The sequence below is a fragment of the Homo sapiens genome, chromosome 16 (genome assembly GCF_000001405.40).
Source record: "Homo sapiens chromosome 16, GRCh38.p14 Primary Assembly".
NCBI lineage: Eukaryota > Metazoa > Chordata > Mammalia > Primates > Hominidae > Homo > Homo sapiens.
In genome coordinates, this window is record NC_000016.10 from 29,790,569 (window position 1) to 29,805,819 (window position 15,251).

At 50.9% G+C, this 15,251-nt stretch overlaps 1 protein-coding gene across 5 annotated transcripts, besides 2 other annotated features; it reads left to right on the forward strand.

The window, feature by feature from the left end:
* Nucleotides 183-14,817, forward strand: KIF22 (kinesin family member 22). Of its 5 annotated transcripts, NM_001256269.2 has the most exons (15): nucleotides 183-261; nucleotides 1,898-1,946; nucleotides 6,325-6,520; nucleotides 7,806-7,933; nucleotides 8,025-8,179; nucleotides 8,407-8,616; nucleotides 8,696-8,926; nucleotides 9,060-9,213; nucleotides 9,345-9,480; nucleotides 12,201-12,369; nucleotides 12,881-13,040; nucleotides 13,430-13,497; nucleotides 14,246-14,458; nucleotides 14,547-14,606; nucleotides 14,695-14,816. In NM_001256269.2, the coding sequence occupies exons 3-15, from the start codon at nucleotides 6,459-6,461 to the stop codon at nucleotides 14,740-14,742; spliced, it is 1,794 nt and encodes a 597-aa protein (NP_001243198.1). In that variant the 5' UTR covers nucleotides 183-261; nucleotides 1,898-1,946; nucleotides 6,325-6,458; the 3' UTR covers nucleotides 14,743-14,816. The 5 variants fall into 5 exon arrangements, with proteins under 5 accessions (NP_001243198.1, NP_015556.1, XP_047290050.1 ...); NM_007317.3 differs by lacking the exon at nucleotides 1,898-1,946; NM_001256270.1 differs by lacking the exons at nucleotides 183-261; nucleotides 1,898-1,946 and adding an exon at nucleotides 400-653 and having other exon boundaries at nucleotides 14,695-14,817.
* Nucleotides 14,462-14,511: a silencer, noted in NCBI's record as "silent region_7334". NCBI's record gives its function as "represses an Ori minimal core promoter by ATAC-STARR-seq in GM12878 lymphoblastoid cells {active_cell/tissue: GM12878}" and the evidence as "EXISTENCE:reporter gene assay evidence [ECO:0000049][PMID:35858748]".
* Nucleotides 14,892-14,941: an enhancer, noted in NCBI's record as "active region_10676". NCBI's record gives its function as "activates an Ori minimal core promoter by ATAC-STARR-seq in GM12878 lymphoblastoid cells {active_cell/tissue: GM12878}" and the evidence as "EXISTENCE:reporter gene assay evidence [ECO:0000049][PMID:35858748]".

Here is a 15,251-nt window from a genome sequence, read left to right on the forward strand (position 1 = left end):
ACGCGCGCGCATGCGTCCTGACCAGGGGAACCTTTTCTTGGGGACCCGGAGGCGAGCGCTGGAAGGCGGGATAGTGGCGACCCACACGCAGCAGCTTCCGGCGGCGCGTAGTCTTGATTGGTGGAACCTGGGAGAGGGGGCGGGGCACCGGGGAATTCGAATGGGAGAGGCGGGCCCAAGGAGGGAGTGGAATGGCCGCGGGCGGCTCGACGCAGCAGAGGCGACGCGAGATGGCGGCAGCTTCAGCGGCGGCGATCTCAGGTACTTGAGCCCGGCCTGGGCAAGGCGGGTACCGACGTCTGGAGTTTAGTGGGAGTTATGTGTCGGAGTGTGGTCCAGGCTCTGCGGGTTGTCGCGGAGAGGCGGCCATGGCGCAGGGGCGGGGAGAGGGGGACGGTGAGAGTGTGGGGTCGCGAGCCGGTCGCCCCGCCTGGCTCCTGCCTTCTCCCTGTTTCCTGCTCTCCCCTTGGGTCAGTAGACTCGGGTCTCCGGTCCAGGCTCTTGGCTTGAACCCCGCGCACTTTTTCTTTGTGAGCTTCGGTTTCTTCGTCTGTGAAACGGGGGTCATGGCCTCATCCCTGGAGATCACCTGAATAAGCAAGAGAAGAGTGGCGGACGCTCTAGCCACGAGGACGAGAAGAAGGGAGCCGGAGGCGTGTATTGGGAAGGGTTCTGTGTGGGACATGGTGTTTGGGTGCAGAGACATCCCTGAGAGATGCAAGAGGACGGGCTGAGGAACAGACCCGGCTGCTGCTGGGTTTGAGTTGGCAGCGTAAGATGCTCTGCGATTACAGGAAAACGAAATAAAAGACTAAAATTTCCTTTCACTCTAGCATGGAAGTGAATGCTATTTTAGGGTTGGAAAGGCTGTTAGGACACCCAAAATCTTGTATGTGAGTATTTGTTTACATGTGCCTCTCTAACCCGGAGACTTAATCCTCGTTAGTGATGATGGTGAGCGCCATAGTAATTCACTGGAGCCCTCGTTAGCCTCGTGGGGAAACAGACATTTAGGAGAATGCCTAACACATGTAGAGCTCTTGCTATGTGCCAGGCACAGTTGTAGGCATTTTATGGTGGTGAACCATTTATTGTCCACACAATGCTATCAGGTTGTTACTATTACTGTCTTTGTTTTACACAGGAAACTGAGGTTAGTTTGTTCAGAGTTAACACAACTAGTAAATATTGGGGCTTGAATTCGCTCTCAAGGAGTCTGAGTGTAGAACCTCTGCTCTTAACCATTATGCCCAAGTACATGTTATCCCTGCTGGCTGAGCACAGTCTCCCCTTACCCTTCGAAGATGCACTGTGTCCGGTGCATGGTAGATATGAAAATGCCTGAATGAATAATGTCCCTTCCTCGAGGAATTTACAGTCTGTTTCAATAGAGTGTCACATACGTAGATGTAATACGAAACACAATGAGAGATGTGTATAAACTGAGGGTGTGGAATCTGAAGTAAGCCCTTGAGTATTCTGGGAGGACTTCATTAAGGGAGTGAATGATACTTGAGATGGGTTTCAAAGGTTGGATAGGAGTTTGCCAGGCCTTGACTAAGAAGACAAGAACAGCAAGTGTTTTCTTATTTATGATGTAAGATGCTCTCTTAGCTCAATTTCCTCATCAATAAAAGGGAGAAGAGTGAATGAAATTTAGGAATTGTGAAAGAAGGGAAAATTAATAATTGCTAGCCTGGTCCAAGCTCAAGGTTGCTTTTATCATGAAAGGGCTAGACTCTTGTGCAGTAAATAATTGTTTACATGTGGCCCTCCCCTCTTCCCTCCTACCCTGGACTGTGAGCCCTGGGGCAGGAATGGCCGTGAGCCATTTTCATGATGGAAATGAACAAGCCAGTGATTAGTAGTTTATTCACTAAATCTTAATTTTTTTCAGCAAATACTTCTTGAGGGCCTACTCTGCGCCAGGTGTTGGGGTTAGAAAGGTGAGCAGGATAAAACTTGTTCTCACAGTTGGCAGTCAGGTGGAGAAAGTGACAAACACGCAATAGTGGGGTGTGACAAATGCTTATGGAGGGGCTAACATGAGCTGTGGTTGCACCTGATAAAGCCTTAGTGTCTACCAGGAAAGGGTTTTTGGTTTTGTTTTTTAAGAGGAGTTAAAATGTGTTTACCTTAGTCACTCCAGGGTGGGGTGGGGAGCAATGCAGATATTCTAGGGAGAGAGATTAACGTGGACAAAAATCCAAAGGTGCAAGAGAACTTGGAGTTTTGTAGGAAGTGAAGGAAATTCATCATGACTGGTAACTTACACTGCAAGGAAGGAAACAGAGGGAATGACTAGAGGGCAGGGAGACACCTTGCTACCACCAGCAAGGAAGGCTGTAAAGACCATGACCTTGGGCAGAGGTAGTGCAGTGGGAGTGGAGAGAAGTGGACTTGTTCAAGAGAGATTTAAAGAGATAGACTTGACAGATGTTAATGATGAACTGATGTGGGAGGTAAGAGACGTTGGAGTTAAAGACTCCCACTTTTGGGGTTGGTGCCATTCATTTACATCAGAGATCAAAGGAGGAGGCTGCAGAGAGATGGGGAAGGAGGGTTCAGTTTAGGACAGGTGGAGTTTAAGAGGAGCCGTCGGCTGGGCTCACGCCTGTAATCCCAGCATTTTGGGAGACCAAGGTGGGTGGATCACGAGGTCAAGAGATCGAGACCATCTTGGCCAACATGGTGAAACCCTGTCTCTAAAATTAATCAAAAATTAGCTGGGCGTGGTGGCGTGCACCTGTAGTCCCAGCTATTCGGGAGGCTGAGGCAGGAGAATCGCTTGAACCGGGAGGCGGAGATTGCAGTGAGCCAAGAGCGCCACTGCACTCCAGCCTGGCGACAGTGAGATTCTGTCTCAAAAAAAAGGAGCCGTCAGGGCAGCCGTTCAGAACGTGGGCTGCAGTTGAGAGCTCTTGTGCAGAACGTGCAATAGGACTTATCAGCTGTAAGATGTTACTGAAGCCAAGAGGGCGGGTGACCTGCCTATGAAATGAATCTGAGTGGTCTCAGCTCGGGGCAACTTTGTCCCTCACAGGACATTTGGAGATGTCTGGAGAGATTTTTAGTTGTTACAACTTGAGGGTGAGGGTGGAGAATGCTACTGGCATCTAGTAAGCATATGCTAACAGTCTAAATGCACAGGACAGCCCCACAACGGAATTAGCCAGCCCGAAATGTCAGTAGTGCTGAAGTTGAGAAATGCTGGTCTAGAGAAAGGATAGACGGATCCTAGGATGAGGAGTGAACAGAAAACTAGGTAAGACAACCAGGAAGGTGGGGGGCATGGAAATGAAGGGAAAAGTGTGTTTCCCAAGAGTGTCGCATACTTCTGGGAGGTCCAACAGGATTGAGGCTGAGTATGCCTACTGGATCTAGCACTAGGGAAGTCATGGGTGACCCTGCTGAATAGTGAGGGCAGAAGCAAGTTGCAGGGATGGAGGAGTGGGTAGCAAGAGAAAGGGTGTAATAATAACAGCTAAGGACTGAGCAGTTGCTGCCAGGCACTGTGCTAAACATTGTATGTACATTATTACTTTGAATCCTCACATTCTTATGAGATGCAAAGATGAAGGGGCTAAGGAGGCTGAGGAGGGTTCATATAAAGCACTTTGGAGTTAGATCTTCATTTGAAGCTGTCAGTCACTAGCTGTTGACCCTGGGTCAGTCAGCTAACCCCTCTATACTGAGGTTTCCTCATCTGGAAAATGGGAGACGGACATTAAAAAGCACTTACTGGCCTTTCACCAAATACCAGATAATGTTCTAAGCACTTTTACATGAATCACCTTAATTACTCTCCTAACAACCTAACAAAGAGGTATTTTTATTCCCATTTTGCAGGTAAGGAAATTGAGGCACTGGGATGGAAAATAATTTCCCTAGGTTACTTAGCTAGCTGTAAATGGCAGAGCTGGGATTTCAACCCAGGCCATTTTACCTTGAATGATGAACCTACCTACTATGTGCTAGTCACTGTGCTGCCACTTTATCTGGCACTTATTTCAATTATCTTTTTTTTTTCTGAGACACAGTCTTGCTCTGTCACCCAGGCTGGAGTGCAGTGGCGCAATCTCTGCTCACTGCAACCTCCACTTCCCGCATTCAAGCAATTCTTGTGCCTCAGCCTCCCAAGTAGCTGGGATTACAGGCGTCCACCACCATACCTGACTAATTTTTGTATTTTTAGTAGAGGCAGGGTTTCACCACCACGCTGGTCTCGAACTCCTGACCTCAGGTGATCTGCCCACCTTGGCCTCCCAAAGCGCTGGGATTACAGGCATGAACCACTGCGCCCGGCCAAATTCTCAAAAAGCCCAAGGCCCACCCCCAACCTTATTTTACAGACAAGGAAACCAAGGTCCAAGGTCACAAGCTAATAAATGTCAGAGCTGGAATTGAAGTCCACTTCTGTCTGACCAGAGTCTACACTCTACCTCATTACTGACTTCCCCTTCCCCTTAGATTGATCACTGCGCTTCCTTAAGTGCTTCTACATCTGCCATCTTTCTGTTCTCCCAAAACATCCTGTGAAAGCAGGCAGAGGAAGGTCCTGCACATATTTTTGACAAGTCAGTGCACCTCAGTTTTCTATCTGCACACATGCATCTGCAGGTTTTTACCTGCTTGCTCCTGACTTTCAGGATTGCCATGAGGAACAAATGAGAACTAGATGTCCAAGCGCTTTGCTACCATAACGTGAGAAATGGTATTAGTAGCCCCATTTATCAGATGATGGAATGGAGGTTCAGTTTTTGAAACAGCCCGTCTGCTTATGGGCATGCCTTACTTAGGTGTAAGATTCTTTGTAGGGGTCATCTGTCTGCCTTTTCGTCTTGCTGTTTCTGTGTTGGCTACGTATACCAGCCAGCCTTTTGCCTTCTGCGAGGCCTATGGCTCCTAGCAACCAGCTGCTACCACCAGCAAGGAAGGGAAAGAGCTGCCAGGAGCTTTCCCAGTTGGTACATAATAAGGAAGCAATACAGCATCCTATTAAAAGCAGATTTTTAGAGGGGAAGAGATCTAGGTTTGAATTCCACTATGAGCTACAGTATGTTATCCTCCAACGTAAAATAGAGTAATACTCTCCTTAGATATTTTCAGCTCATTTAACCCCCACAAAAATAGAGGGCTTTTCTTTTTTTAAGTTTTATCTTCATTGTGTTTTCTGATGATAAAAATAATTCAGTTGCCAATTCTAAAACAAAACAAAACAAAAAAAACTTAATCATCTGAAGCAAATTCAGGGTTAAGTTTACATGAGAGAAGAATTGCATGTCGGTGGTTTTTGCAGAACCCACATAATTCCCCATCAAGAGAAGATCATCATTAACAGTTTGCAGGGGTGGGTGGGTCTGTGAGTATACATACGTCTCAATACATATTAGAAACCCCAGTTAAGAAATGGAGGTACAGGCTGGGCAGGGTGGCTCACACCTATAATCCTAGCACTTTGGGAGGCCAAGGCAGGCAGATCACTTGAGGTCAGGAATTTGAGACCAGCCTGGCCAACATGGTGAAACCCTGTTTCTACTGAAGATACAAAAACTAGCCAGGAGTGGTGTTGGGGACCTGTAATCCCAGCTACTCGAGAGGCTGAGGTGGGAGGATCGCTTGAACCTGGGAGGTGGAGGTTGCAGTGAGCTGAGATCATGCCACTGCACTCCAGCCTGGGTGACAGAGCAAGACTGTCTCAAAAAAAAAAAAAAAAACACACACACACACACACACAGAAAATTCTGGCAGTTCGCTCTCTGGTTTAGGTTTCGGTCAGATGTCAACCCTTTTAATCCTTAGAACAACCCTGTGAGGTGCTGGTCTACTTCACCCTTGGCAATTCAAAACATGTCCTGGGCCAGGCATGGTGGCTCCTGCCTATAATTCCAGCACTTTGGGAGGCTGAGGTAGGAGGATCGCTGGAGCCCAGGAGTTGAAGACAAGCCTGGGTAACCTAGTGAGACTCCATCCCTCTCTCTCTCTTTTTTTTTTTTAAGTGCCCAGCATCACCTGGGAGCTTGTTAGAAATGCAAAATCTCGGGCATCACCCCAGGGAGACGGAGACCAAATCCACATTTTCACAAGATCCTCCAGGTTATTTGTGTATACATTACAGTCTGAGAAGCCTGCTATACACCTGCTGCACTTGCTTGTAGAGCAGGGAAGGCACTGAGGCCAAGCTTAGGGGTGTCCACAACATGACCAGGGCAGAATGAGCTTCTCCAACATGAGCTGTGGCCCCCAGCCCGCCCAGCAAAGTTGGTCCCTGCTTCTTCTGCTACCACCATACTTCATGTCTAAAAGTGATCTTCTCTCCTCCAGGAGCTGGTCGCTGTCGGCTAAGCAAGATTGGAGCTACTCGTCGTCCACCTCCAGCTCGCGTAAGGGTGGCTGTGCGACTGCGGCCATTTGTGGATGGAACAGCGGGAGCAAGTGATCCCCCCTGTGTGCGGGGCATGGACAGCTGCTCTCTAGAGATTGCTAACTGGAGGAACCACCAGGAGACTCTCAAATACCAGTAAGGTTCAGGCCACTCCTCTTCCCTCATGCCATCACCTCCCTCTCCTAGGCCTGCCCACGTTCCCCTGCCTCCCCAGGATCCTTGCTCCCTCCTTAGCACCGCTTTGTTCCCTGAGCCTTCACTGTTCACTTAGGAAATGTTGACAGGTGCCCCCATGATGGGCCCTCTCTGGGATACTGTAGGGAGAGATGAGAGGTTGAATCAAACATACATTACTGTGCACAGAGAGGGAGGAGCAATGAGGGTGAGCAGGTGAGCCCCAAGTAGAGGCTGGGGGACATATCAGGAGGGTTGGCGGAACACAGACCTGCCAGCCAGCCTACCCAAGCTGCAGCTGGGTAGTGTCAGAGAAGACCACCCAGATTTGGGGACAGAACTCAGAAGGGCAGCTACTTTATAATCCTACTGGGGATTTAAAGTTCAAACTCCTTGGCCTGTTTTTCTAGGCGGGGGCTGGCAAACCATGGCCTGCAGGTCAAATCTGATCAGGAGTAAGATTTTCAGTAAATAAAATTTTATCGTTTATTTACATATTGTCTATAGCTGCTTTCTGACTACAGTGGCAGAGTTGAGTAGTTGTAAAAGGAACACATGGCCCACAAAGCCTAAAATATGTACAATCTGCCTTTTTACAGAAGTTTGCTAGCTCCCATACTAGGCCGTTAACAATTTGGGCTTCAGTTTCTTTCCAGCCTCATTCCCTCAATATATATTAAACTCCCTGCTGTGGCCTAAGCTGCACTTCTCCACCAGAACGCAGTGGATAGGTGATTGGTATGTAGAGTCTAGTTCAGTCATAAGCAGCATCCTCTATTTTCCCCATTATGGTGTAAAATACAATGTTCTACACATGTAGCCATTTGAAAAAGACTGGGAAGCCTTGCTTTTTTGCTATTCTTGATTCTCAGAATTTCTTTCTTTGGTCAAAATCTTCCTTCCTTGAGCAGAATCAGTTACTCCTTTGAGAGTGTGTTCTTATCTTCGTTTCCTAAATCACAGCAAAGTGTGGATATCTATCCTACCAGACTGAAAAACTCCAAGAGCAGGGATATCAGATCTATCTCTGTATTCCTAACACCAATAGAGAGATGAGGATGGAGTAGGTGTTAGGTGGATGCTTTTTAAGGTCTTTGTACAAGAAAGGGGATAGAGACGTTCTCTTAAATCCAAGGTCCAGATGAGAGTAGAATCCCTTACCCACCCCCACCCCACTCCACCCCTTACACACACACACACACACACACACACACACACACGCTAATTTCTTTCTTTCTTCCTGCAGGTTTGATGCCTTCTATGGGGAGAGGAGTACTCAGCAGGACATCTATGCAGGTTCAGTGCAGCCCATCCTAAGGCACTTGCTGGAAGGGCAGAATGCCAGTGTGCTTGCCTATGGACCCACAGGAGCTGGTGAGGGAGCCAGAAAAGAAACAGCTATGGGTCAGAAAGGGCTGGGGAAACGGAGAGGAAAACCTCACAGTTTTCTCCACTCTCTTCCCAGGGAAGACGCACACAATGCTGGGCAGCCCAGAGCAACCTGGGGTGATCCCGCGGGCTCTCATGGACCTCCTGCAGCTCACAAGGGAGGAGGGTGCCGAGGGCCGGCCATGGGCCCTTTCTGTCACCATGTCTTACCTAGAGATCTACCAGGAGAAGGTGAGGCCCCGTGCTGGTTGGGAGAGGAGCAACAAAGGGTCAAAGTAAGACCTGGTTCTAGAACATGAAGCTCTGCTGTAGCAGGGAGGTAAGGTGAGACCTAGAAAGACAGAGACTGGGGTAGCAGATGGTACAACTCCGAGAATAGAACAGAGAAAGGAAACTGATCCCCAGGAAGAAACAGCCTCTCTATGGAGAATTGCCCTTCCCCTTCACTGCTTACACAGGTATTAGACCTCCTGGACCCTGCTTCGGGAGACCTGGTAATCCGAGAAGACTGCCGGGGGAATATCCTGATTCCGGGTCTCTCCCAGAAGCCCATCAGTAGCTTTGCTGATTTTGAGCGGCACTTCCTGCCAGCCAGTCGAAATCGGACTGTAGGAGCCACCCGGCTCAACCAGCGCTCCTCCCGCAGTCATGCTGTGCTCCTGGTCAAGGTGAGGCCGCAGACAGGGGCGAGGACCTGGGAAGCCCAGGAGCCTGAGCTAAGCACGAGACCTTTGTTCTTACCCCCAGGTGGACCAGCGGGAACGTTTGGCCCCATTTCGCCAGCGAGAGGGAAAACTCTACCTGATTGACTTGGCTGGGTCAGAGGACAACCGGCGCACAGGCAACAAGGGCCTTCGGCTAAAAGAGAGTGGAGCCATCAACACCTCCCTGTTTGTCCTGGGCAAAGTGGTAGATGCGCTGAATCAGGGCCTCCCTCGTGTACCTTATCGGGACAGCAAGCTCACTCGCCTATTGCAGGTCAGGCCCACCTGTCTCAGGGAAGAAGGGGCTGCAGAAGGAGGTTCTCAGGCCTGCTGTGGGGTGGGGAATAGCAGTTGAGGCATAGGAAGGCTGGGCTTCTGACCCACCCACTGCCTGGTCTCACCCTCAGGACTCTCTGGGTGGCTCAGCCCACAGTATCCTTATTGCCAACATTGCCCCTGAGAGACGCTTCTACCTAGACACAGTCTCCGCACTCAACTTTGCTGCCAGGTCCAAGGAGGTGATCAATCGGCCTTTTACCAATGAGAGCCTGCAGCCTCATGGTGAGAACTGGGGGAGGCAGGAGTGGAAACGCTGGGTCTGGAAATTAGGGAGTTTGTTGAAACCACCAAGCATCAGCACAGAGGCTGACCACCCCCAATCCCTCTCTCCACCCCATCCTCCAATCATCTAGCCTTGGGACCTGTTAAGCTGTCTCAGAAAGAATTGCTTGGTCCACCAGAGGCAAAGAGAGCCCGAGGCCCTGAGGAAGAGGAGATCGGGAGCCCTGAGCCCATGGCAGCTCCAGCCTCTGCCTCCCAGAAACTCAGGTGAGCAGTGGGGCCTTGGGTGTATCCCCTTCCTGATGTATGGCTTAGCAGCAGAGCTGCAATGCCCGTCAGATCCTTGAGCAGAGAGCTGTGATCTTGTTCCTCTCCCATTAAATTCACCCTAGGCCGGATGCGGTGGCTCACTCCTGTAACCCCAGCACTTTGGGAGACTGAGGTTGGGTGGATCACCTGAGGTCAGGAGTTCGAGACCAGCCTGGCCAACATGGTGAAACCTCATCTCTACTAAAAAATACAAAAAGTAGCCGGATGTGGTGGCATGTGCCTGTAATCCCAGCTACTTGGGAGGCTGAGGCAGGAGAATCCCTTGAACCCAGGAAGCAGAGGTTGCAGTGAGCTGAGATTGTGGCCATTGCACTCCAGCCTGGGCGACACAGCAAGACTCCGTCTCAAAGTAAATAAGTGAATTCAACCCTGGCTAGGCACGGTGGCTCACGCCTGTAATCCCAGCACTTTGGGAGGCCAAGACGGGTGGATCACCTGAGGTCAGGAGTTCAAGACCAGCCTGGCCAACATGGTGAAACCCCATCTCTACTAAAAATACAAAAATTAGCCAGGCATGGTAGTGGGCACCTGTAATCCCAGCTACTCAGGAGGCTGAGGCAGGAAGAATTGCTTGAATCTGGGAGGTGAAAGTTGCAGTGAGCCAAGATCATGCCACTGCACTCCAGCCTAGGTGACAGAGCAAGACTGCATCTCAATAAATAAATAAGTAAATAAATAAATTCCCCCCAAATTCTACTCCATTGAATCACTAAAGTCTAAGATTAATCTCTCCTCAGTGCTGCTGCCTTGGGGACCTAAGGAGGCCTCCTCCTGGGGATCCTTTCCATTTTCCAACCCCTTTAGCCTTCAGCAAAACTTCTCACTTTGGGACAGCTGTTTCAAGGATGAGCATTTTTGCTTCTGGTTCAAGGAGTGATCTGGATCAGATCTTTCAGATCCATGAGAGCAAAGCAAAGGAGACTTGGAAGAGCTGTCCTGCTGAGACCATCTGGTCTGTGTGTCAGTGCCCAGCTTCTCCATGACTCTCCGGGGAGCCAGCTGCTGTCCTAACTGCGTCTACCCTCAATCCAGATAAAGCCTCTAAACTAAGTCCTTTGTGTCACCTCCTGCCCCAACTCCAATCACCCCACCTCATGGCCCAGTATGTACTAATCCTCAGGTCATCTCTGTTCAGGGGTCTTGCTTTCTGTGTCTGGCCACTTAGCCCTTGCGCTATTCCCTCCACCCCCCAGGAGCCAGTTGCAGTTTTAACTTTGCCCTGTTTCTACCCCTAGCCCAAATAAAGCCTGTGAACTACTAAACAGAGGTGACCTGAGGTGGCCAAGGGTTAGTGCCCACTCTGTCCCAGGGGGCTACTGTAGTTAAGGAAGATGCCACACACAAGAAGATGCTTGTGCACTCATGACCCCATCTCTCAGTCTTGTCTTTCCCAAACCATCTGTCAGCACTCCCCACTGCTGTGTGCACCCAGAAATGTGCACAGGTAAGCTGTCAGACAGGCACTCTGAGTAAGGGGAAGCTCAGAGTTGGGCACATCAAACCCAGCAGACCCAGAGCTTGGGGGCCTCACAGGAGAGCAAGTCAGATGGGAACATCAGTATATGATACCAGGTGGAGAATTCAGAATCAGGAAGGAGTAGCTGCTGCTGCTGTGAGAGTCAGGAAGGAAGAGATGACTTCTAGTGTTTGCCCACGTATGTTCTGATCCTGTTTTTCCAAGGCACTAGCATGGAAAGCACAGGAGTGTCCCTGTCCTCCAGGAGCCAGTTCACAGCATAGGAAGGGAGATGCATTGTTAAGCTTGGCGTCATGGGAAAGGTGGCATCAAACTGACCTGGAAAGATTATTGATACAGATGTGAGGAGGTGTGGGGCAAGATTCCAGGCAAAATAAATGAATGTTAGACGTTGCTGACTGGGCGCAGTGGCTCACACCTGTAATCCCAGCACTTTGGGAGGCCAAGGTGGGTGGATCACTTGAGCCCAGGAGTTCAAGACCAGCCTGGGCAACATAGTAAGACCCCATCTCTACAAAAAATAAAAAAATTAGCTGGGCATGGTGGCATGCACCTGTGGACCCAGCTACTCAGGAGGCTGAGACAGGGGGATTGCTTAAGCCTCAGGAGGCCAAGGCTATAGTGAGCTGTGATCTCAACACTGCACTCCAGCCTGGGTGACAGAGCAAGACCCTGTCTCAAAAAAAAAAAAAAAAAAAAAAAAAGAATGTTAAGCCTTACCGTGCTCAGAGTCAGTCAGGACTGCTTGAACAGGCCTTCCCAGCTGCCCACAGCAGGGAAGCTTGGCAGCTGAGGTCTTCGGTGGATTTCAAAGCCCTGCTAAAGATGGCATCCTCTGTGATGTTTTCCGCAACTGCTCCTCCAAATGGATAGGCACTGTCCTGGCTGTCACCTTATTATGGTCTCTTGATTTCCTCAGTAGACAGTGCCTCCAGGGCAGGGCAGTGTCTTAGGTCTCTCATACCTGGCACTCAAGTGTTCGCCTGATTTCCTGGCATCCCCGAGCAGTCACTTCACCTGATGAAGACACTGCACCCAGAGAAACTGGATGCCTAGCAAGTTAACATTAGGTTCTGGAGCTACAGGATATACCAAGTTAAGGTGTGGTGAGGGGAGTCCTGCTGCTGTAGGTGGTGATGAGGGAGGAGGTAGGTGGGGAGCAACTTCTTTTTCTGCTCAGCCCCCTACAGAAGCTAAGCAGCATGGACCCGGCCATGCTGGAGCGCCTCCTCAGCTTGGACCGTCTGCTTGCCTCCCAGGGGAGCCAGGGGGCCCCTCTGTTGAGTACCCCAAAGCGAGAGCGGATGGTGCTAATGAAGACAGTGGAAGAGAAGGACCTAGAGATTGAGGTACGTGTTTTAGGGATGTGGGAGCTGGATTCCTATTGGCCTTGAGAAGCAATCCTTGGATCTTCAGACAGGGAAGGACACTCAGGCTGGACTAGAGTCCAGTTTTCTCCCAATACCGGAAGTTCTCCAGCTTCTGCTTGAATGTCCTTAACATGGCTGAACTTTGACAGACAATTGAGACCAGATGTGAGGGTGAGAAGAAAAAGTTCAAAGTAAAAGCAACAAATGTTAAACATTACATTTCCTAAAGCCCAGCTCAATTAATTGAGGACTGTGCTTGAAAAGCCTTTCCCTTCAATATTTGCAGAGGCTTGTTCCACCTCTGGGTAGCCCCCTAATCACAGAAAGCCCTTAATTATGTTAGGCTCCACCTGTCTCCTGGTAACCTCCCACTGGTCCTAGCCCTGCCCTCTGGGGGCTCAGAGCCTTGCATACTCACCCTGGTAACCCACTCCCTTCAGGCTGCCCTGGAGTTGGGTCTGGATCACATCTCCCTGATCCTTTCCAACAGAGGCTTAAGACGAAGCAAAAAGAACTGGAGGCCAAGATGTTGGCCCAGAAGGCTGAGGAAAAGGAGAACCATTGTCCCACAATGCTCCGGCCCCTTTCACATCGCACAGTCACAGGGGCAAAGCCCCTGAAAAAGGCTGTGGTGATGCCCCTACAGCTAAGTAAGTTTGACTCCAGGGGCTGGGGGGCCAAGGCAGCTGAGATCCTATAAGGGAGGAAGTGTTAGGAGCAGCTGTCTCCATGTCATTCATATTCTCCCACCACATACCAGTCCCAGGGAGGGGTGAGGAGGCTCTGAGGCAGTGCTGGGGGTGCTCTGCCCTCGGGTGTTTAGGACAGTGGGATGGACAAACGAGTAGAGGATTGAAGATAATGCAAGACTGACTGAAATTCCTTTAAATGCGGGTATAAAAAAGGTCATGTGGAAACACAACAGGTTAACTCTGGATGGAGGGGAGCTGGGGAATCAGAAATGGAAGAATCGAAGGGCTACCAGGGAGGGTGAAAAGTACCCTTTGCCCTGACTCCAATTCTCGATTCCTACTTTCAGTTCAGGAGCAGGCAGCATCCCCAAATGCCGAGATCCACATCCTGAAGAATAAAGGCCGGAAGAGAAAGGTGAAAGTAGCTGGGGGCTTAGGCTACACCTGGAGCCCAGAAGTAAGGGGGAGTAGGCTCTAGGGGGAGGAGCGTTGGCCTTGGGGTTAAACGAACTGGATGATGGCCGCCAGCTACTAACAGACCTCAACTTGCTTACCCCTGGAATGTGGTGATGGATGGTTCCTTGCAGGGCATTTAGGGTGGAAGGCAGTGATGTGGATGTACCTCGCAGAGCGGATGTTCCACTGTGTAGCCTGGCTTCTACCCTCTACAAGCTTAAGAGGGAAAACTTAGGGAACTATGACCTAAGCAGTCAAGCAAGAAACCACACATATGCACATACCCAGAATCGAACACCACTAGAACTACCCAAAAACTGAGATGGTTGGGGGAGGTATCATTTATTCATATTACTTTCTCCCATGTACTTTTTGAAAGACAGCTTATTCTTTCCCTTTTAGAGATGAGGGACCAGATTTAAGAGCTTATTTTGTGCTTTACATTCATTAACTCACTTGATCTCCACAGCAACTCCATGAGAAGGGTGCTAATATTACCACTGGGTACTGAGTAGTACCTCTCTTTCACTAGTTGCATAATAAGAATTAACCCAGAGAGTGACCTGAGGGCGGGATTTTGGACACACTTGACAAGAGAGGAAGAGGCTGGAGCGCAGGAGGTAGCTGGTGCTGGGCTCCTAGTCTTGGCAGAGGAGCCCAAAGCACTTGGCTGCCCTGCGTGTCACTCATCTCCCTTTGCCTCCCAGCTGGAGTCCCTGGATGCCCTAGAGCCTGAGGAGAAGGCTGAGGACTGCTGGGAGCTACAGATCAGCCCGGAGCTACTGGCTCATGGGCGCCAAAAAATACTGGATCTGCTGAACGAAGGCTCAGCCCGAGATCTCCGCAGTCTTCAGCGCATTGGCCCGAAGAAGGCCCAGCTAATCGTGGGCTGGCGGGAGCTCCACGGCCCCTTCAGCCAGGTAGCAGCCCACTGGACTGGGGGAGGGCGGGGGCGGGGGAGACCGGGTACCCCCGAGACCCTGTCCCCTATCGATCCTGTCCCGCCAGGTGGAGGACCTGGAACGCGTGGAGGGCATAACGGGGAAACAGATGGAGTCCTTCCTGAAGGTGAAGTCACGGCCCTGCCCCTCCTCTGCCTGTCCTGCGCCCCGCGCCCCTCTCTAACGTCGCTGTCTCCCTCCCTCCTGTGTTGCAGGCAAACATCCTGGGTCTCGCCGCCGGCCAGCGCTGTGGCGCCTCCTGACCGTCGTCTCCTCACTCCGCCTTTTCAAATTTTTGTATAACCCCGTGTTGTGTAAATACAGTTTTTGCTCCGGTGCTTCCGCCTGATTTTTGGGGCTGCGGGGGCGGGACCGGGGTGTGACCGCCTCGGGGTGGGCCGCGAGCAAGGCAGGCGACTCCACTGGGCGCCATCTTCGGGGAACGACTCAGCGCAGGATTGTAAATACACCGCTGGGGTGGGGCGGGGAGGACGGTGGCCTGCAGGACGCAAAAAGCGGAAGCCGAAGCATGAGGCCTGCGACCGTTAGGCGGGCGCGCGCTCAGGGATTAGCCCCGCCCCGTCCGTGCCCCCGGCGCGCGCGCTCCCCCATTCTCCCGCTCGGCAACGACGGCGGCCTTGTGCGCGTGCGCGCGAAATAACGGCCGCTGGCGGAGGGAGGGGGAGTGGAATCGTTGGCGGGGGGAAGAGGAGAGAAGCCGCCCTGTCTCCCGCGCGCCCACCACCTGCGCCATCGTCAGCCAATCAGCAGC